The following is a 23,264-nucleotide window of genomic DNA, read 5'->3' as shown; positions in this document are numbered from 1 at the left end:
GACACGTTAGTGGGTGCAGCACACCAGCATGGCACATGTATACATATGTAACTAACCTGCACAATGTGCACATGTACCCTAAAACTTAGAGTATAATAAAAAAAAAAAAAATTTAAAAAAAAAATTAAAAAAAAAAAAGAAAAAAATAAAAAATAAAAAATAAATGTGATTCATCACCTAAACAGAACCAAAGACAAAAATCACATGATTATCTCAATAGGTGCAGAAAAAGCCTTCGATAAAATTCAACATCCTCTCATGTTAAAAACTCTCAGTAAACTAGGTATTGAAGGAACATACCTTGAAATAACAAGAGCTATTTGATAAACCCACAGCCAATATCATACTGAATGGGCAAAAGCTGGAAGTATTCCCCTTGAGAATCGGCACAAGACAAGGATGCCCTCTCACAACACTATTATTCAACATAGTATTGGAAGTTTTGGCCAGGGACATCAAGAAGAGAAAGAAATAAAAAGCATCCAAATAGGAAGAGAGGAAGTCAAATTATCTTTGTTTGCAGATTACATGATCCTATATCTAGAAAACCCCATTGTCTCAGCCCAAAAGCTTCCTAAGCTGATATGAAACATCTGCAAAGTCTCAGGATACAATGTGCAAAAAATTGCTAGCATTCCTATACACCAAGAACAGACAAGCTGAGAGCCAAATTATGAATGAACTCCCATTCACAACTGCCACAAAAAGAATAAAATATCTAGTAATATAGCTAACAAGGGAAGGGAAGTGAAGGACCTCTTCAAGGAGAACTATAAACCACTGCTCTAAGAAATCAGAGAGGACAAAAACAAATGGGAAAAAAAATTCCATGTTCATGAATAGAAAGGATCAATATCACGAAAATAACCATGCGACCCAAAGTAATTTTCAGTTTCAATGCTATTCCCATTAAACTATCATTGATATGCTTCACAAAATTAGAAAAAAAAATTTTAAATTAATATTAAACAAAAAAAAGCCAGAATAGCCAAGACAATCCTAAGAACAAAGCTGAGACATCACACTCCCTGACTTCAAACTATATGACAAAGGTACAATAATCAAAACAGCATGGTATTGGTACAAAAACAAACACATAGACCAATGGAACAGAATAGAGAACTTGGGGCTGGGTGCAGTGGCTCATGCCTATAATCCCGGCACTTTGGGAGGCCGAGGTGGGAGTATCAGTTGAGTTCAGGAGTTTGAGACCAGCCTGGCCAACACGGTGAAACCCCATCTCTACTAAAAATACAAAAAATAGCCAGACCTGGTGGTGCATGCCTATAGTCCCAGCTACTTGGGAGGCTGAGGTAGCAGAGTCACTCGAACCCTGGAGGCAGAGATTGCAGTGAGCTGAGATCACAACACTGCACTCCAGCCTGGGCAACAGAGTGACTCTGTCCCCACTCCCAAAAGAAGAAAGAATAGAGAATTCAGAAATAAGACCGCATACCTACATCCACCTGATCTTTGACAAACCTGACAAAAACAAACAATGGGGAAAGGATTTCCTGTTTAATAAATGGTGCTGGGAGAACTGGTTAGCTATATGCAGAACACTGGAACTGGACCCCTTCCTTACACCTTACACAAAAATTAACTCAAGATGGACTAAAGACTTAAATGTAAAACCCAAAACTATAAAAACCCTAGAAGAAAATCTAGGCAATACTATTCAGGACATGGGCACAGGCAAAGATTTCATGATAAAAATGCCAAAAGCAGTCACAACAAAAGCAAAAATTGATAAATGGGACCTAATTACACCAAAGAGCTTCTACACAGCAAAAGAAACTATCATTAAAGTGAATAGACAACCTACAGAATGGGAGAAAAGTTTTTCAATTAATCCTTCTGACAAAGATGTAATATCCAGATTCTATAAGGAACTTAAACAAATTTACAAGAAAAAAACAAACAACACCATTAAAAAGTAGGCAAAGGGCATGAACAGATAATTCTCAAAAGACAACATACATGCGGCCAACAAACATATGAAAAAAAGCTCAATATCACTGATCATTAGAGAAATGCAAATCAAAACTACAATGTGATACCATCTCATGCCAGTCAGAATGATTATTATTAAAAAAATTAAAAAAAAACAGATGCTGGCAAGGTTACAGAGAAAAAGGGATGCTTTTACACTGTTGGTGGGAGTATAAATTAATTCAACCATTGTGGAAGACAGTGTGGCAATTCTTCAAAGATCTAAAGGCAGAAATACCATCTGATCCATAAATCCCATTCCTGGGTATAAACCCAAAGTAATTTAAGTCTTTCTATTATAAAGATACATGCATGCGTATGTTCACTGCAGCACTATTTACAATAGCAAAGACATGGAATCAACCCCAATGCTCATTAGTCATAGACTGGATAAAGAAAATGTGGTACATATACACTGTGGAATACTATGCAGCTATAATAAATTGAGATCATGTCGTTTGCAGGGACATGGATGGAGTGGGAAGCCATTACCCTCAGCAAACTAATGCTGAAACAGAAAACCAAACACCGCATGTTCTTACATATAAGTGGGAGCTGAACAATAAGAACATATGGACACATGTGGAGGGGAACAACACACACTGGGGCCTGTCAAGGGGGGTGGTGGGGGGAGTGAGAGCATAAGGAAGAACAGCTAATGGATCCTGGACTTAATACCTAGGTGATGGGATGATCTGTGCAGCAAACCACCATGGAACACATTTACTTATGTAACAAACCTGCACATCCTGCACATGTACCCCTGAACTTAAAATAAAAGTTGAAGTAAAAAAATAGAAAAATATTTTTAATATTAAATTTAGTGTAGCCTCAGTGTACAGTGTTTACAGTAGTGTAGAGCAATGTCCAGGCCTTCACGTTCATTCACTACTAACTGACACATCCAGAGCAACTTTGTCCTGCAAGCTCCATTCAGGGTAAGTGTCCTATACAGGTCTACCATTTTTTTTTGTCTTTTATATTGCATTTTTACAGTACCTTTTCTATGTTTAGATATGATTAGAAACATAAATACTTACCATTATGTTATAATTGCCTATGGTATTCAGTACAGTAACATGCTGTACAGGTTTGTATCCTAGGAACAATAGGCTATACCATACAGCCCAGATGTACAGTAGGCTATACCATCTAGGTTTGTGTAAGTGCACTCTATGATATTCAAACAATAATGAAAATGAAATGCATTTATCAGAATGCATCCGTCATTAAGTGACACATGACTATATTTTGATTTAGAAAATGACATAAAAGAATTCCATGATGGTTGAAGAGTTGGCATAAGTAATCTCTTTACACATTTTCATGTAGTCCACATTCCCAAATCTTTTGATCTATAGTGTCCAAATGTAACATACAAATTATTTAATGGAAAAAAGTAATTAAGCGAGAGTCAAGAGAGGGGCTGGGCTAACTTTGAGCAATTCTCTTAAACTCTTTTGGATTAACTTCCTGGGTTATAAAATAAGGTGACTGGAAATATACTTCTCTTTGTAAGCTGTATTTTGGATTAAGGAGGGTGTGAGCAAGTTTGATTGTCTGCAGAACTGGGCCATTAAGAGCTAGTTCATAGGGGACTGGTATTAGTACAGTACTTGTTAGGAACTAAACAGTTGATTAATGTCTGTTTCCATGATCCTTACATAGAAAATTACAAGAGAGACAATTTTTCAATTGGGCCATTAATTGTCACCATGCCATGCTGTGTATGTCTCAATAACAAGTCACTTAGAGAGTGGTGTGCTGTTTTCCAGTGTCTTTCGAGCCAAAGTTCCAAGATGTCTTGGGTAAGAAAATTAGCCATCATGATTTCTAGACTTATTGATCATACCTCCTAATAATTAACAATACAGGAAGGAAGTACAGTTGGTTGGTAGAAAGCAAATAAAATGTAAAAGTATTGAAATAAATGATAGAAGAAAGTTTATTGAAATAATAACAGCCCCTGAAGTTTAGCAGATTAAGCCAGTACAATACATACTACGGAAATGAACAAAAAACCCTCCAAATTAAACAGAATTAAATAATTTAAACTAAATAATTACTGATTATTTAAACAAAATTAAATAATCACATGACCAGCGCCAGAAATCTCCAAGGACTTTCATTATTTGACAGAAATGGTGACCTATGAATTTTATACTAACTCAACTTGTTACCTGAGAGTTCAAAAGCAGGGAATAGGTTTTAAAATGCAAGAGAACCAAGGAATATGAGACCCATACTCCATAATAAAATCCAGAACATAAAACAAACAAAAATTGTATGTCTTACAGGCACTGGATTTGTTTTCATAAATATCAGTCTTTCATTCTGTCATTCTTTAAACAAAGATTTAGCTTTCTTTTCTGAATCAGGCATTATGCTGGGTGTTGGTGATAAAATAGCAAACAGTTCAGAGGAAGTACCTGTTGTCATGAAGCTTATATTTTCTCCACTGCAAAGGTAGTGGTGGAAATAAAGCGATAATTTACCATAATGGTAAACAACTAAAAAGAAAATAAAACATGGCAACTGGAATCATAGTGACTGACAATAAATATAGGGTTGGGAGGTCTTTTATATAAATAGTTAGAAAAGCATTTTGTAAGTAGGTGACCAGTGTGCCAAGGATACTTACTAATTACAGCATTAGTACATGTTCAAGTGGTCAAGAATTCATCAATATTTTATACATTCTGCTTTCAATTCCTGCTGAACTCTTCTGGGAATAAACTACTCAGAATTCTACAGTTCCATGGGTTTTTATTTCTCAGCACTTAGAGTTAACCTTCCTTTCATTTTTATTTGTCACATGACTCTTTCCTAAGTATTTTCATATACTGCGTTTTTGTCTTTTCAATTAGAATGAGAACACAATAAGGATATTTTCTCACCTTTTCACCTGTTGGATTTTGACATACTTAATATGGTTTTGTTCCCCATGAATAATCTACCATGCAAGTCACATATCTCCACTGCATTATGGTTTAACTCTTCTCTACCATAGTGACTCTTCCTCCTGAGCAAATAAACTGTTGGTAGACATAAAAATATTAGGTAAAATAAACATGTAACTTTGGTGTAAGTTTGGTGTCACTTTGGTGTAATGGGGTGAGTCCTGATTTTACTCCTTTACTAGCTGTGGTGACTTTAGGCAAATTACTTATCTTCCCTCATATCACTGAAATTTGCATATTTTCAGCAAGACTGATTTTCATTATTGTGATTACCTGAACCAAAAATGGTTTTGCCAGGACTTTCTTAATTTCTATTCTTTGCATGCCACAGAGTTGAGTTGGCCAAATGATAATGTGGCTTTCAGTGGAGTGGCACCCTTATACTATTGTCAGTTCTTGAGAATGAAAGACAAACCCACTCCATTATATTTCTACAATGGCAGAATTTATTTAAGTCACTGGATCTCCTGCTCTATTAAGACCTCCACTCCTATTGTCATTACCTTGGCTCTTTGTAACTAACTCTCTTTTGTCTCTTTCCCATCATTTCTCTTTTGTTCTTTTTGCTTTCTCATTCTCTCTTAAACGGTTCTCAGGTTTTGTGCAATTGATTGCTGATATGAGTGTTGCTTTTCACTTGGTGTGAGTACAGCAATTTCGGAGCATCAGGCTCAATCCTTCTTACTCTGAGTTTGGCTATTTTCACAGTTGCTATTAATAGATGTTCGCAAGTCATGTTTATGGAGCCAGAGTAGTTTGTTATTTTCTTCTCTTTTTCTTCCTTCCCTGTTTACATTCTTTACCTCCCTGTCTGCCTGTAATTCGGACGGTATCTCATTCTTTAGCCTTAACAAGTATAAAGTTTGACTTCCAGATAACTGAGGTGATGCTATATTTATCTATCCATCTATCTATAGCTCAGAAAAAAGCTTTAACCTCTTGTATATTTACATGCTAAAGAGATTTGCCATATAAAATACAGGATGCCTAGATAAATTTAAATTTGAGATAAATAATGGATAAATCTTTAGTGTATATTCCAAATATTGCAAAAGATATACTACAAATTATTTGTTGTTTATCTGAAACTCAAATTTAACTGTGAATCCTGTATTTTCATTTGCAAAATCTGGCAACCCTTAAGCACTTTTTGTAGGCCATACAAACATGTTTTTCAATTAAGCAATATTAACAATGATTGTATAATTTTAAATATTAAACCTATGTCAATGGTCCAATAAGATGATGTGAACAACACTTACTATGATTAGAAACTGCCAAATTTAATGTGACAAAATGTTTCACTAATATATATTATACTTAAATAACTATTTTCATTTTTATAATAATAGAGTATTATATAGTATTATTTCTTTTAATATAACCAATCTCTAATTCATTTTACTGAAATAAAAACAGACATTTGTTTATAAATATATAAAAAGCCAACATATATCAGCCAATAAACAAACTTATTCTAAAATTCTTGAAAATTGTATTGATTCACTTGAGCAACTGATAACACTGAAGCAAAACTAAATACAACAAGTTTGTAATGAGAACCAGATGCTGAATTTGAAGCAATTGAATGGGTAATGAACAACAAATCATGATATTGTACTCTTTCCAGAAAAGTAGTACTTATCATAGAACATTTTCACATATATTAACAGAAAAAGCTATTTTTACATAGAAGTTCATCTTTAAGCTATATCATTCATACATAAGAACTGTTTATTATGTGTTGTTGCACCTACCCAAAATACACACACACACACACACACACACACACATACAGCACTGACTGGCTGAAAGGCATTCTTTTCCTCAGTCATACACATTATAATGACCCCTAATGCAGAAGCCAGGCAAATATTACACATACACAGACACACCTAGATGCACACACATAGAGGAGCTTTTAATCAAGAAGTTTCATGCGCGAATAAAAACTTACCTTACTATTATATCAATCCATGTGTTTCTCTGAATTTAAATCAGGGTAACCTAAAAATTTGCTGTCATTTACTTAGTACGGTAAAGATATTGAAACTTACCAAGCTAATGGAAAAAGTTTTAGGTTAAATTATATTTATACCTAGCTTGATATTTTAAATTCTGACTTTCTAGGGAGACAGATATTGATGATAACTTTTGAGTTAGCATCGATTTAGATATTCACAGAGTTTGAGAACTTTCAAATACTTTAGAATTTATCTGATTCAAAGTTTTCATTTCATAAATACAATATATAGAGCATAGAACAATTGACAGGCTTGCTTAAAGTCAATCAGCTACTTACTGATGGAGCCAAAGGTAAGAAACAGTCTCCAGACTACTGTCTTAGTGCAATTTCCAATATTCATTAATATCTCTTTACTGAAAGGTCATGCCATTTACTACAAAGGGAAAAGGAGGAGGAATGTATGGTTGTGTATAGAGACCTACTACTCATTAAGGAAAGTCTATAATATCTTTCTTGAGGAAAAGTATTAATCTTATTCTCTATAGAATCCATTCACGACCTAAGAAGCATGAAATAATGTCTTAAATTCTGATTAATGTTAAGGCACAGCTAAGTACATATATCAATGACAAATAAAACTTGGGAAACTTTTAAGATAGAATTGAATAATCTTATGCCATTATGTTATAGTAACAGAGGATCAAGTAATATCACTTTGTAATACTCTGAAAATATAGATTTCATTTGCATACTATATTCAATTCCAGTATAGAATTTAAGTAAGAGCTCATAAATATTTAAATAATTGTCATGTAATAATGGAGTTTTTTAAAATTAAAAACTTGGGAACATTATAGAGAGGATTCAAATCTGGATAGAAACATGGGCTATCTAATCTTTGCAAAGTCCTCGGAAACCTTGAGATGCAATATTTGATGGGAACTGTATGTATGCATTCCTTTGTTTAAACCAATTGTAGGTTCATAAACCAATTACAGAAACATTTTTCTGCTCCTTGTGAGTATCCCAAATCATGAGTCTTCATGTTTTTAATTTCATTGTAAAATGGAGAGAGTTGAATGGCTCTGCTGATAGTGTATTAGAGGTGGTAGTATTCTTCAGAATATGTGCTGAGAATGAAGGTTTTACACAGTGTGTGGATTGAAGCTCTAAAAATAACTGAATATATATGTATGTATGTGTGTATAAAACCTTATTAAAAATGATTTTAGCTATGAAAAACTATACAATTTCAATATGGAAAAATTGATTTAAAAAATCTGAAAGATCACATGCACTTGCAAGCTCCCCTGAATATTTTGCCTTATAAAGTAGTCGGATTCCCATTTCTGGTGGTCTTCAAGAAGTAGCTGAATGACTTTGCTTTAAGAATAATTAACAATATAAATTGAATGTTTGTGTGACCCCAAAATTCATATGTTGAAGCCTGAATCCCCAGTATGATGGTATTTGGAGGTGGGGCTGCTGTGAAGTAAGTAGGTAATGAAGGTAGAGCCTTCATAATGGGATTAGTGCCCTTATAAGAAGAGACTCTGGAGAGATGATCTATCTCTCTGCTCTGCCTGTGAAGCTCAAGAAGAAGGCCACTGTCTACATGCCAGGAAGAAGGCGCTGACCAGACACTGGATCTGCCAGTCCTTATGTTGGGCTTCCCAGCCTCCAAACTGTGAAATAAATGTTGATTGTTTAAGCTACACACAGTCTATGGTGTTTTTGTTATAGCATCCCAATCTGACTAAGCATGATTTGTTTTTCATTGGCTGAGAGCATGCAATGGGGCATCTGGTCCCTCCTTGTCCCACAGTTATTTTTTTCTATAATGTTTGAATTAACAGTTGAGCTCTCACAGTCATATTAAGTTTGATGTCAATCCAATTTAAATGAAAACGGAAAATGGGGCAAAATTTCATGTAAACAATATCTAGCTAACTTCATTATCTTATTTTGTTTTTAAATAAAGCAAGCATTTAAGCAAAACTCTTTAAAAGCAGAAAGCCAAAGAAGTCTTTAAAATAATTATACTAAGAATTTTTAAAGTAAAAATAATGGAAATGCTAAATGCAGGTGTAGCTTTGATATGAATAAATTAAAATGCCAAAAGCATTTGTATGTGTATATATTCCAATTACAGAATTACTGTATAGTAATACTTAAGTTGCATCTGTGGACAATTTATAGTATATTTGGTTATCCTATGGAAACTATAAGACTCTAAGTCAAGCCCTAAGATATTTGTCTTATTCCTAAGGTGGGCTAAGGTGACAGTGATCATTTTACTTTGAAATATAAGAAGATATCTGATGTTAACAAAAATCTTGGGTATAAATACTTCACACAAAATTTTTCTAATTCATTTTAAGACTTATTTTTTCACTTTTACCTAGATAAATGAATTTCAGTCTTATAAAGAAGAGTCACATATTTTACCAAAACAATTAAATAGGTATTGGCTGTAGTGTCAAATTATGATTTACTGACACTGAGTTATGTTTTTATATTAAAATCACACTGCTTCACGTTTGATTAAAACATGAAATACTTTGAAATAAAGTATTTATTTATATGTGAAATAAAGTAAAATACTTTGTCTTAGGTAATTTCAAATGACGGTAGCTTTTTTTTCAAATAAATTATTTTCACATTAACCCTAGGTTTTGAGACATGACTACTTTAAAATTTATAATGAACAAGTCACTTATTTTTTTGACCCATTGAATGACATAAAAGCACAACTACTCCAATATAACCAGAAACAGATATCTTAATGATATTAATAAAACCATGGTAACATTTGACATATATGATAGGGAAATTGACTCTCCTGGGGTGCTTTTTCTTCCTTTTTTTTTGAGGTGGAGTCTTGCTCTGTCACCCAGGCTGGAGTACAGTGATGCGATCTCAACTCATTGCAAGCTCCGCCTCCCGGGTTGATGCCATTCTTCTGCCTCAGCCTCCCGAGTAGCTGGGACTACAGGCACCCACCACCACGCCTGGCTAATTTTTTGTATTTTTAGTAGAGACTGGGTTTCACCATGTTAGCCAGGATGGTCTTAATCTCCTGACCTCGTGATCTGCCCACCTTGGCCTCCCAAAGTGCTGGGATTAGAGGAGTGAGCCACTGCACCCAGCCCCTAGGGTGCTTTTATAAATGTACATAGACAGTTTTTCCTTATTAGACTATCAGACCATTAGAACACCTCACCTCACCTGATACAGTGAGTCAGGTAGTGAAAGATGTAGAAGACTACTAACTTTATTACCATAATAAGTTTCTTAGTAACAACAAACAAAATAAGAATGATTCTGTCTATTTCAGCTTTGACAGAATTAAAGATGTGTGGTTAAAAGTTTTCAAGATGAGAAAACACACAACAAAAGCACGAAATATACTAAAATTATGGTTAGATGACTAAATACATTTTGGTGGAGATACCTATGTAACTGTGAGTGCATTTAGATTAAGAAAATAAAGATTGCTGGCCGGGCGCAGTGGCTCACGCCTGTAATCCCAGCACTTTGGGAGGCCGAGGCAGGTGGATCACAGGGTCAGGAGATTGAGACCATCCTGGCTAACACGGTGAAACCCCGTCTCTACTAAAAAAATACAAAAAATTAGCCGGGTGTGGTGGCAGGCACCTGTAGTCCCAGCTATTGGGAGGCTGAGGCAGGAGAATGGTGTGAACTCGGGAGGCGGAGCTTGCAGTGAGCCGAGATCGTGCCACTGCACTCCAGCCTGGGCGACAGAGCGAGACTCTGTCTCAAAAAAAAAAAAAGAAAAGAAAGATTGCTAAACAAATGCCCCCCCCAAAAAAGGTCTGGCATATTTTCTCATCTTTCTATTACTATCCTTCCTCTAATGATAACTATACTGATATGGGTTAATTCATTTTTATTTTTGTTCTAAAATGTGGAAAAAGAACATTGTACTTGGATGTTTATTTTCTCATTACTATTGAAAATTAGCTTACAAAAGGTTCTCTGAACTGTATAAGTTTAGATTCCAATTCAATGCCTCTAATTTAATATAAAATATTCAATTTTATATCATATATTTTCATAGCAATATTATTTTAATGGATGCCAATCTAATTTCCATTTCATTTTCCATTTCCTTTTCTTTGCTCCTGAACTAATGAAAAGTGTATTTAATACACTATGTAATAATACAAAAGGGACTAATTATATTTTGATAACAGACTGTCATTTTATAGCTCCTTTTCTTTATCATTTCTGCTCATACCAGTTAAAAACACAGCACTTGTTAATCCCCAGTAGAAATTACTAGAAATGGTCTCAGAGAGTCTTCACTTTAAAGGTTAACCAGAATCTCATTCAGTCTTTGCTGCCTGCCTGCTGAAAGTAAAGTATGCAATAGCCACATGCTATAATCTTTTATGCTTTTTAGTACTTAGAATTTTACAGAAAGCTTCCATGTGTAATATCTCATTTAATCCTCACAACTACCCAAATAATATGAAATACCACTGTATAGATGAAAAAAATGAAACATAAAAACTTAGATAATGATTTTTCTAAAGGTACACAAGTACCTAAAGGGATTCTCAATCATCTTCTCCATTTGCCTAGCCACTTACATAATGAAATGTGCTTCCCCATCATATTTCATCATTCTCATCATATGTGCTGTATATCTCAATATACCAAACCATGGCATGTCTGATAATCCACAGCATATTATCTAATGTTAGTCTACCACAATTATTTACATGGCATTGGTAAAAAAAAAAGGTGATGAAAATATTTCTTACACTGGGTTGTTTGTTTATGGTATTTTCTTGCATGCCTAAAGTAGTTTACGACGAATCTTTTTCTTTTACAAAGGCAATAAGTTGTAAATCAGAATACATGTGCATTTTTTAACCTTTGCCAACTAGTCACATCTTATTTAACATTGCTAAGCCTCAATTCCCTCTTCTGAATAATGAAGAGGAAGAAATTTTAAAATGTCCTTCTAATTTATAAATGCCATGTCTATGCTGAAAATTATACATAAGAATAGTTAAGTTTGGGGGGGATTCAATGAACTGATTTGAAGAATAATTGGAGACAAAAAAGAACATATGCATATACAACATATTGGAGGCTACTCCAGTGATTAGCCATGAAATGACAAGAGTATACATTTATAAGGGACAGTTATTAACTGCAAGTGCAGGTGAAGGAATGAATAAGAGTGATTTTGGACAAGGGTCATGATAGCTACTGGTGATTGATTCTGATTCAACACAGAACATAAATTAATATTAGAGTCAAAGGTGTGTTCCATGTTAAGTGGAATAGTGGGTCTAGATTGAAATGAGGAAAGTAAAGAATATACCATCTAAAGAAAAAGGTGGTGAACATGGTTGGGGATATGCTAAGTTTTAGGTGAAAGTAGTAATATGAATTCTAGACCATGGGACTAAATTTAAGGCTAGGGATACAGACCTAAAAATTATCAGAGTAGAAGTAACAGGTATAGACTTAAGAGGGAAGAATCTCTCTAGAGTGAGAGAAGAGCAAAGTTAGACTTCAAGCTTCTGCAACTCCAAGTTATTTGTTATAACAGACCATGGTCACTGGGAAGCAGATAACTGCATTGCTGGAGCAATGGTCTTGTATGGTTATGGGCACAACTATGGGTACTGAAAAGACCCACCTCTAGCCTAATAGTATACCTGATCTGGTGGGTTTCTCATAATTCCCAGTCATCTTGGAGCTCCAAACTTCAGGTACTCTATGACAAAAAAAAAGAAGGCACTGGGAGCCATTTCTTCACTCACTTTTACCAAAAGCATGTCTCTGTATTCTGTATTGATAGCTTCTTGTTTATTTCAAAAGGAATTCCAAATGAAAACAACTTTAAAGTTCAAAACTTCATCAATCTTAGAACCTAACCAAACTGAATTGGTTTATCGTAACTCACTTCATGTTTATCTTTTTAAATCTTCACTTGCTTTGTATTTTATAGTGGTTAATCAATGTCCTTGGAGGAATGAAGGAACTAAAAAGAAGACCACATATTTGAGAAACACTCATAGTTATGGAGGGGTAAAGAGCATAAATCAATGAAAGAAATGGAGAAAAAATCATACTATCTTCATAGGCAGTGATAATAGCTAGCAATTTTTCTTAGCTATCAAGTAGGAGAGTTGTTTTGCACAGAATGCATGTTCAAAAAAAAAAACACCATACTGCTGAAAGTTAGAAGCTATATCAATAAATTCAGGTCATGCAGTTATATTTTTGAGGGAAAAGCCAACATTTCAGTACCACAAGCATAACTCTGATTGGAACTGGTTAGCTCTCTTTACTTAGAGCATGACACTAATAACATTAAGGAGGTGGATACAGTGCAACTAAGCTGTCCTGTGTGCAAACTCTAGAACAGTGCTTCTCAATTTTACCATGCCTATGGAGCACTGGGGTATCTTGACACAGCCAGAGATTCCGCATTTCTGATAAGCTCCTAGGTCTTAAAGTTTCCAGAGAGAACACAGCTTAAATAATAAGCCTCTAGCTGATTGTTCCACATATGCATGACCCTGGTAATAACAGATGTGTGAGAGAATGCCAGTAGCTGGCACTAATTCAATATTCTCTGAATTTAAAAATAAAAAAACACTGCAGGTTCAACTGATGCAAGTAGGAAAGAAAGCATATTAGTTGATATGATGGAAGAATGAGCAAGTTTATGTAACTTCTCAAGCTACAGAATTCATTTCAAAGGCTCTATTTTACTAAGAAATCTGGTTCAATAAAGGCTATAGTACATAATTTATCTCCAGTGTTATTTTAGGTAGTTATTTACACATCCCAGAATGTGACTCAACTGCCCATTTTTAAGTATATGTCATTTGCCTCTTGTTAGGTTTACATATAATTTACTTCCTCAGACCTCTTGTCTCCCATGTAATATTTCATTGAATTGCTATTAACCTTTATCAGTGGCAATTACTACTTCTCTTTGGCTTTCTTATTTATTTTCATCTTTTTTTTGGTTCTCTTTTCTCTAGTCACATGTAATTCTGAGATTGTTCATTAGTTATGTGAAATTGTGAGAAGAGGGAAAGTAGTTGACAGAAAGCATACACAGCAAGTGCCAAGAGTTGTGAGGAAAGATTTCATTCATATCCTAAAGGGAAGGATGATATTCCATGTTTTATCTTACTATGCATAGGAAAACAACGCCCTCTCTAGGAAGACCACCAAGAAGCTCACACTACTAATACATGAGAATGGAAATTTCTTCGTAATTCTAGGCCCTTAAAAGATAAGTATATATAACAGATTAGAGATAGAATAACAAACCTACCTGACCAAGAAAGCGATTACATTTCTGCAGGTACCCATCGGAGTCAATATGTGAAACTTTGCATCAGGCTTATTAGACAAGCACAGATAGAAGGTCTATAAAGGCAGTAGATATTACATGCTTAATGGAACATATGAGGTAAAATATATGAGAACTAGAAGGTGACTGTCTGCATGGAATTAGCAAACAAACAGTAAAGGTAGTGAAAATCCAACTATTCCTCCTAAGAATTCCTTTGGGAGAATGTCTACAGCCTCAAATATGGTACCTAAGACTCTTGCTGATCTGATCCCTGCACACTTACTCATGCGACCTCTGACTCTGACCTTGCTTTACACACCCTAGCCTCTAGTCCTGACCAACTATTTGTAGTTCCACAAATGCCGCTTTGTGTATTTATTCCTCCACTGCACACAGGTCAGAAATATTCTTCCTTTTCCTATCTGCCCAGTACATTTCTTATTATTAGAGATTCCACTTGAGAAGCATGTATTTTGTGATCCTGTCTCCAAAAAAAAAAAAAAAAAATTCACGGAAAGTCAACTACTTCTTCCACCCTGTTCCATAGCATCTTGCTTTTGTAATTACCTGGGTCTTATGACAATGCAATAATTATTATATGTCTGTCCTTCTCACTGTACTATGAATCCTTCTGAGTCCCATCTCAGAAATGAAACAGTATTATCTGTTAGTATTCCTAGAACCTTGAATATTCACAGTATTTCCATAACCTTGAACACTCATTCATTCACTTATTGCTCATCAAACACTCACAAATAAGTTTAATAACTGTTTACAAATAATTAAAATCCTTATGGTAACCAATCACTAATTTGATATTATCTTTCGAATTTAGGATTTTCTACTTTCAATAGTTTTCTTCTCTTAGGATTGCTCTTTGAAAGCATAGCTTTCCTAGGACATCTCACTAGTCCAGGCCTTATAGTTTCATAGCTGGATTAAAACCTTATTTATTTATTTATTTTGAGATGAAGTTTCATTCTTGTCACCCAGGCTAGAGTGCAATGGCGCAATCTGGACTCACTGCAACCTGTGCCTCCTGAGTTCAAGTGATTCTCCTGCCTCAGCCTCCTGAGTAGCTGGGATTACAGGCACCCGCCACCACGTCCAGCTAATGTTTGTATTTTTAGTAGAGATGCGATTTCATCATCTTGGTCAGGCTAGTCTCAAACTCCTGACCTCAGGTGATCTGCCCACCTCAGCCTCCCAAAGTGATGGAATTATAGGCGCAAGCCACCATGGCTGGCCTAAAACCTTATTTTAATTGTTACCTCTTTGCATAGAGTCCCTTCCCATGGTCAATCCCATGCATAATTTTGAAGGTAATATTCCCTGGATACCTATTCATATTTAGAATGGTTTAGCAACCCTTGTTTACCAATTTGAGCAAATGTTAACTCAATATTTCATTACAAGTCCCTCTCCATACCTGTCCTCCACAAATACACTATTTTTCTTGTCTGAGCACATGCTTTAAAAAAAGAAAGAAAGAAAACCAAGTTGCTTATGGTGAAAAATCCCTCCTTACTGATAGTTTTGCAGTGCTCAACTTGCACTCCATGTCCTTGATACAGTCTTCTAATATTTGGCTCAGTTAGCAAGGACATCACCATTTAGCACTGTTTTCTCATGAACGTCTTTGGTAAATAATTTTTACCTCCTCCTCTTCAATAGTATCTCAAAGACTAGGAACTGAGTTTAAACATTTTTTTTGTATCATTTTCCCTCTCTAATTTTGCACTTTACTAGATATAATGCACACATAAAAATCATTCTTGATTTATTGACAAATACTTCACTACATTTCGTTACCTTATATTGGCACAGAACACCATATAAATTCTATATAATGACATTACTTTCATGTTGCCTTCTAGCTGTTTCTTTTATAAAAAATCATCTCAACCTATGGATTATAAAATTGCTAAGAGCAGGAATGAATTTCCATTTGGAAAGTCACTGGAGTATAGCAGGAAAATCACTGAACTGGGAGTCAGGAAACAAAAGTCTGAACTCTGCCACTTGTATGGTTTGCTGGAACGTTATATTTTATTGCTATCATTTACTTCATCTGTAAAATAAAAACAAAATCCTCAGAGATGGTGTGAGAATTAAATGAGATACTATGTCTGGAAACATTCTGAATATTCTAATGTACTATACAATATAAGACATTGCTTTTTATTACATCTTCAAAATTATTTTGTGGGCAGCACATGCTGGGCACAAGGCAGACTGTCAGGAAGGTCTCCCTGAGAACTTCTTGGGTCTTGGGTCAAGTTGGGTGGGCATTTCTTACATTTTTACAGCAACAGCTGCAAAGTCCCATTCCTCAGCCTTTTTTTCTTTTATTGGATAAAAGTTATTGCAGTCTAATACAATTTTTGGCAAACCATTCTCAGAATTTTCCATCTGCTTACCACATAGGACCTCTTGTAGTCCTGCTTCTTGCCTTTCCAACTCACCCATGAAATTTGCCTTGTCAATTCTCTCTTCCACCTCACCGAGGTAGCTGTCATACCTGGAACACTCTTTATTCTTAACCTCGCCTGCTTTTCTTTCCCGTGGGCTCCTCTTCCCCTCTGCTGGCTGCCAAGGAGAAGCACATTTACTGGCATTAGCCCCCAAACAGATGCTTGCCTCGCTCCCTTCCCCCTTCCTCTTTCAGCCAAACCATCACTTGCCAAGGGCTGGTGGTTGCTGCCCCCCCTGTCCACTGCCTCGCACTGCTACAGCTCCAGTCCTTTCTGGCAGCCTCCTCTGAAGTTCCCTGCCCGCGTTCGCCCGTGCTTCTTGCCAGCCGCCTCCCCCTCTTGCCTGCAGCTCTCCTAGCTCCCGCCAGCCTCTCCCCCGCTCGGTCTGCGAGCAGCCTCTTCCTCCCGCCCTTGCCAGCTGCTTTACTCGCCTTTCCTCAGGCTGCTTCTTCTCCTTCTTTCCCCAACCCTTCCCCTGGCTCCCGCAGCCGGTTTCTTTCCAGCGCCCCCATCCCTCTCATCGGATGTTTTGTTAACACCCAGGACCATCTCTCCCGGGTCCCACTGTGCGCGTGTGTCCACCGTTCACTTGGAAAGTGAGCGTTTTCATCCCGCTTCTGTATTTGTCTAGTCCGCCACCAAAACCCTGTGCCTACTCCTCAAGCCTGGAAGGCGGAATGTAGCTATGGTAGAGGGGATTCAGGAAGACACCAGGCCACAGGCTCGGGACCCCAACAAAGTTTTGGACGTTCGGGATTTGCTATCTCAGTCTTCCCAAACTTGGTCAGCCCCGGCCACCGACCCGAGCCACCCAGGGGCGCTCAGTGACCAGGCGCTCCTCTGATTCCCAGCGCCCCTATTCTTCCAGGGCCGCTTCCTCAGGAATGCCGACCGCTCTCCAGGACCAGGGTTGGGCCGCTCCCCAGGCCCCACTAGGGTCCGCAGCCTGAGCCCCACCCAGCTCATGGCTGGAGAGGGGCGCACTCGTTTTTAGATGCGAGGCGGCAGGGTGGGCGGGAAGAAAGAATGGAGCCGCCCAAGTTCCTGGGTGCCTGCCTCGGGGATGCGGGATGGGAGATACTGTCGAAGAGCTGTGCTCAAACCAGGGCCCTTGTCGCGGGCTGGATACCTCCGGTGCGCCCTACCGTAGTGGGGAATCCTTTATGAGCCGTCTCCTTTAAGAAGCGCGCGTGCGTGTGTGTCGGGCTGTGTGTATGCGCGCGTGTGTGTGTGTGTGTCGCGGTGTGTCTCTGTGTGTGTGTGTGTGTGTGTGTGTGTGCGCGCGCGCGCGCGCGCCAAGGGCCCCGAGAGCCAGGCAGACCCCGGGAAGGAGGAGTTATGTAGATTACGGATGAACATTCTGGAGGGGAGCGAGGAGAGGAGGGAAGGAGAAGCAGAGGCGAGAGAGTGAGGAGCGGCGGAGGCCCTTCCCGCAGGAGCTGGGGGCGGCGGCGGCGGCGGAGGAGGAGGAGGAGTAGGCAGTGCAGGAGGAGGACGCACGGGCTGGAGGCGGCGGCGGCGGCGGCGGCTGCTGCTGCTGCGGCTGCGACTAGGCTCTTTGAGCCGGAACCGCCGGTGAACTTAGGCGCCACGTTCCCGGTGACTGACCCCGGAGGATGGTGAACAGGAACTACTGCTGACCCTGTCTTCGCCGCTGCCTCTCGGGGGCTGCCGAGCGCGGGGCCCCTGTCTCCTCCCCTTGCCCGGCTGTGGGTGAACCTGCAGGCTCCTTACCCACCCGGAGGACTTTTTTTTGAAAGGAAACGAGGGAGGGAGGGAGAGGGAGAGAGGGAGAAAACGAAGGGGAGCTCGTCCATCCATTGAAGCACAGTTCACTATGATCTTACTCACATTCAGCACTGGAAGACGGTTGGATTTCGTGCATCATTCGGGGGTGTTTTTCTTGCAAACCTTGCTTTGGATTTTATGTGCTACAGTCTGCGGAACGGAGCAGTATTTCAATGTGGAGGTAAGAGTGCGAGGGCTTTCTTCCTCCCCCCGCTGCCTGGGCTGCTCCCTGAAACATTTCCTTCACTCCTGGGATCCTTGTAGCTCAGAGCAGCCTGGGTCCCAGCACGTTGTTTCCCTTCCAGCTGTGGAGACCCTGGTTCAGTTTAAGGGTGTTTTAGGTGACGGATGCGTGTGAGACCCAGAATCCGTTATCCCCGGCAGCACAAAGCACGATGCTGCGCGCTCAAAGACACAATTGTAGCCGGTCCATGCTTTTCACCCAGGGAAGAGAAGTCCTACATATAGCAACCGTGTAGCTAAATAAGGCAGCTTGAGTTTATGATGGATAAACAGCTCGGGGAAGACAGAATTAATTCCCTGGCATCATGTGCTGCCTAGGTATTGTTCCTGAAATCTTTCTCCCAGTGTTTGGTGCCTAACAAAGGAGGTTAAAAATCAAAGAATCTAGAGGAGAGCGTGGGAACACTAGATGTGTTTAATAACATTACTTTGTGATAAAACACTTGAGAATCTTTTTTTTTTTCATTTAGACATAACTTAATACACTGTAACTAGATCTGGCTACACAGAGGACATGAAATCCATCTCTTTTTAAGTGTCTTCTTTCCCCCTCCCCCGCCAATTGAAAATAAACGTGGCCCAATGTAATAGTTTTGAGGTGTGTTTTTAATTTGATTTCACACTCTCGTGGCAAAACGGGGAGGTTTTAGACTGTCATTTGCTTTACTTTGATAGCTTTGGGAACAGACGGCACAAAGCAAAAGGGAACTTAAGGATAGGGACTTGTCAGACCTCTGCCAAAGTACTCTTCCTGTCATCAAGTCAGCACTGAAGCCAGTAATGTGCAATAAATCAATGAAAGCGTGTATACACCTGGGCTGTAACACAACTTTATCACATATACGGTGGGATACAAAGCCAGTAAGAGGGTCTTAGTAACATTTACTTCTTTTGATTAGATCTGATGTCCTCTGAACTCTCAAACGAATTATGAATAATTTTTTAAGGAATAATGTGATTTTTTTTCTTATATTGTTGATATTATGAAGCTTATTGTCATTTTGCTGGGAGTGTGTGTTTACACAATAGCAAGACCTGTTGCACAGTATTTGAACATGCTTCATGTAACCAATTGATACACAGAGTGTGCATAATAAATGCCATGTGTAAAGGCATATTCTGAATATAACTGTGTTTATAGAAACTGTTCTTAGGACTTCATGTAATAAGTCATGGTTAGTACAAAAAAAGTATTTGAAAAAGTAAGAGCTATTATCAAGAGTTAAAGACCTTCACAGATATTAAGTATGAATAAATTACACAAAAAAAACCCAATTTGAAAACTAAAAAGGTTTAACCCTTTGAAAAATACAACTTTATTTTTCTAGATAAAAAGAGAAAGGGGCTTGAAAGTCCAGACTTTTTTTATTGCAAATTTGAACTTTTGGAATTACGTGCCACAGATGGATTTTTGTACCTAACATTTAAATCAAGAGATAATTTAATGTTGAAATGAAGGATTAGTTCATAGGCTGGAGGAATTAAAGTGGCAAGCTGTTATTTATAATGTTATAAACAGAAGGGCCTATTGCTTCAGGTTGGTGGTGATGGTGGTGAGGTGGAGTGTGTGGGAGGTGGTAAAAGTAAGTGCAAGGTTGTGTCTTTCTGAATAAGGGAAGGGAAGGACAGCCTGGATTGATGGTTACCTGCTTTAGGAAAGTATTAGATTTGCTTTCAGAGGTTAGGATAACATGAGTTTTGATGATTATTAGATTTTTTGTGAGACTAAACATAAAAGATTGTATTTCTTTATATTGGAATCCCTCAGTAAGTTCAGATATTATTATGCAAAAAAGTTATGATTGTACTAACAAATTTTATTTAATTTTGGATTCCAATGACCCCTTCTCTTTCTTCATTAAGATGTGTGGGGAAAAATGGTTTATGGAGAAAATAGTTATTTTCCCATTTTTAGAGGATTTAAATTATTCTAGTCATATTTATTACACAGATTTAAGCCTGACAGATAAGTCATGTGCCATCTCAGACCTTTAAAATCTTGCTTAATAAAATGGGAAGTTTTTCATGGTTTAGAGCAGATTATATGCCTTAGTTTATGTTATCCTCAAATAGTATTTTTAAGCTCTTGAGCTCATTTTGGTTGGATTTATAAGCTTCTTTATGTGTAATGATACCCCCCCTTTTTTTTAGATTGTAGGAGTAGCTGCTAGTGAAATGGAAATATTGTCAAGAACACAGAATGACGGGATGTTTTCTGACATAAATTTCTGCCTGATTCACTTCTATTTGACTTTTTTTTGATAGGAAACACTAATGGGAAGAATGGTCCATCACTTCCTCTCCAGAAGAGGCACTTACATTGTGTTCCTCATTCTGGTTGCAAAACATACACACTGGGAATGTTTTATTTGATTGATTCTCAAGGATAGTCTTAAAATAAACAGTAATGATATCAGTCATGCATGAAGCTCATATGATCATAAAATTTTTTTTCAGTAAGCACAGAAAGTTTTTATAGTTGGAACAAAGCTTCAGGGGGATGCTTTTTATGCTGACAACTAAGATTACATTGCTTTATTCATCACTAAACTTAACAATTTGTGGTCCCCCCATTCTTTTTTATCTCTGTGATTTAAGGTTTAAGACTGTATATTTTTCCCAGGGAAGTGGGGGATTTGAAGAGGGTGGTTGGCTAGAGGTATTCATGTTAACTCTTTCCTGTCTGATTTTTAAGGGTATAAATATTTGGAGTTGTCAATTATCGAAGTGAGAGATATTTTTAATATGGTGATGAAATCCTGTTACAGAAAGAGAGTGCATTTGGTTTTGCTTGGTTAGCTTGTTTTTTAAGAAGCAAAAAGGAACATCTCTTACAGCTAAGAAAGGGTCAGACACTACCAGGAGTAGTACTATGGAAGAGATTCAATACACTGCTCTACTTTCATTTCAAGTGGAACACTTTTATTGTTAAGTTTTCAGTATATACTCACTTAGGTAAAGATATCCATATATCATTGGATCCCTTTTTTAAGAGTTGGTCTTTCAGTATGTGATAATTAGCACGATGCAAGGGAACATTGCTAATATTAACTAAAAGTCAAAAACTGTTGTCATTGGACAGCAGTCTGAATCAGAGGTGTTCATTGGTCAGAAGCAGCTAAATTATTAACAAATAATTATTAATGTCTACTGTCTTAAAAATCATTTTGTTCCTAAAATAGCTATCTCATATAGGGATTTTCATGATCCTGTGGCTTTTTTTTTTGGTATGCTGTGAGCATTTTTGTTATGAAATTTGAGACAGAACATAGTTCATGATAGTAATACCTCTCATATCGTCAACTCTGAATAGTTTGTCAGATATTACTTATGTGAACAGCATATTCCTTATCAATTTCTAAACAATAGCATACATTTCCAGGGAGGAAAAAATTTTCAAGCTGATTTAGTGGTAAAATAAAAACATATAAAATTCTAAATGATGCATATATCAAAGCATAAAATGATTACTCTTTTGTGACAAAAAAAGTCTTGATAAGGCAAAAATTGATTTTGTTGTTCCTGATTAAAGAAAGCAGAGATATTTTAGATTTCAAAGGGGTCTTTTATGACAAATATGAATTGAGTATAACTATTTCCTAAATTTTTCTTGCAATATATTTACTTAACTGATTTAAGATTTATTCAAACCTTTGTCAGGTTTGCCTGCATGTACCTAAAAAGTCAGAGTTTGCATTGGGTACTTTTGTATTGCATATAAATTTGGTAATAATTAATCATGAGACATTTCAGAGATAAAAATTATATTTTATAGAATTTTACATTCTTATGTTGGGACACTGTTGCTTTTCTCTTGTTCTTTGCTTGCTTAAAAAATCAAGATGCATTATTTCATTTGGACATGGAAGAATGGTGGTACCATGCCTTCTTGAGTAAAGGTTGTCTCCTGAATATAGCCTATAATTCTCCACTGTAGCAGTTTCTAACTGGTCAACAACAGGGGCTGTATGACTGATTCATCAAGATTTTTATGTACCGCAAGATTGCAGGTTTAACAAAACGTCTCAAATATGCTGGCTGTTTAGGGTGCTCATAAGGGCCCAAAGCTATGATAAGGAGAACAAGAGTCTCAATTGTTTTAAGGTTCTCTAGCTTCTCCTACATGTTCTACCTTGACTATGCCTCTCTGTTCAGAGTTGCCTGGGCCGGATCACTCAGGTCTATGGTTATTCATGAAACCATTACATGACGTGATCATAGCTCACTACAGCCTCAACCTCCTGGGCTCAAGCAATCCTCCCACCTTAGCCTCCTGAGTAGCTGGCACTACAGGCACATACCACCATACCCAGCTTTTTCTTTTTTCTTTTTTTTTTTTTAATTTTCATTGAGACAAGATCTCACTATGTTGTCCAGGCTGGTCTCAAACTCCTGAGCTCAAGTGATTCTCCCTCCTTGACCTCCCAAAGTGCTGGGATTACAGACATGAGCCACCACATCTAGCCACATGTCATTATTATTAA

The 23,264-nt window shown here is 37.3% G+C and overlaps 1 protein-coding gene and 1 long non-coding RNA gene across 5 annotated transcripts in view; one reads left to right on the top strand and one right to left on the bottom strand.

Moving 5' to 3' along the window:
• LOC105375630 (uncharacterized) overlaps positions 1-17,949 on the bottom strand; it is a 559,756-nt gene extending 541,807 nt beyond the window's left edge. For 2 of the 4 annotated variants that reach the window (XR_007060998.1, XR_007060996.1), the window contains exons 1-2: positions 17,895-17,949; positions 16,741-16,864 (exon numbers count right to left, since the gene is read on the bottom strand). This is a non-coding gene — a long non-coding RNA (uncharacterized LOC105375630). Of the gene's footprint in view, positions 1-16,695; positions 16,865-17,894 lie in introns of all 4 variants that reach the window. The other 2 variants (XR_001745653.3, XR_007060997.1) reach the window with 2 other exon arrangements.
• A 360-nt stretch (positions 17,950-18,309) lies between these two features.
• The window catches only part of MMP16 (matrix metallopeptidase 16), a 295,473-nt gene continuing 290,518 nt past the window's right edge, over positions 18,310-23,264 (top strand). Inside the window, exon 1 of the mRNA NM_005941.5 lies at positions 18,310-18,718. Coding sequence (NP_005932.2) covers positions 18,587-18,718 — 132 coding nt within the window. The 5' untranslated portion in view covers positions 18,310-18,586. The remainder of the gene's footprint in view (positions 18,719-23,264) is intronic.

This window comes from Homo sapiens, chromosome 8, assembly GCF_000001405.40.
Source record: "Homo sapiens chromosome 8, GRCh38.p14 Primary Assembly".
In the NCBI taxonomy this organism is placed as follows: Eukaryota; Metazoa; Chordata; class Mammalia; order Primates; family Hominidae; genus Homo; species Homo sapiens.
The sequence above is the reverse complement of the archived record's forward strand: the minus strand, read 5'-3'. Positions and strand labels throughout refer to the sequence as shown.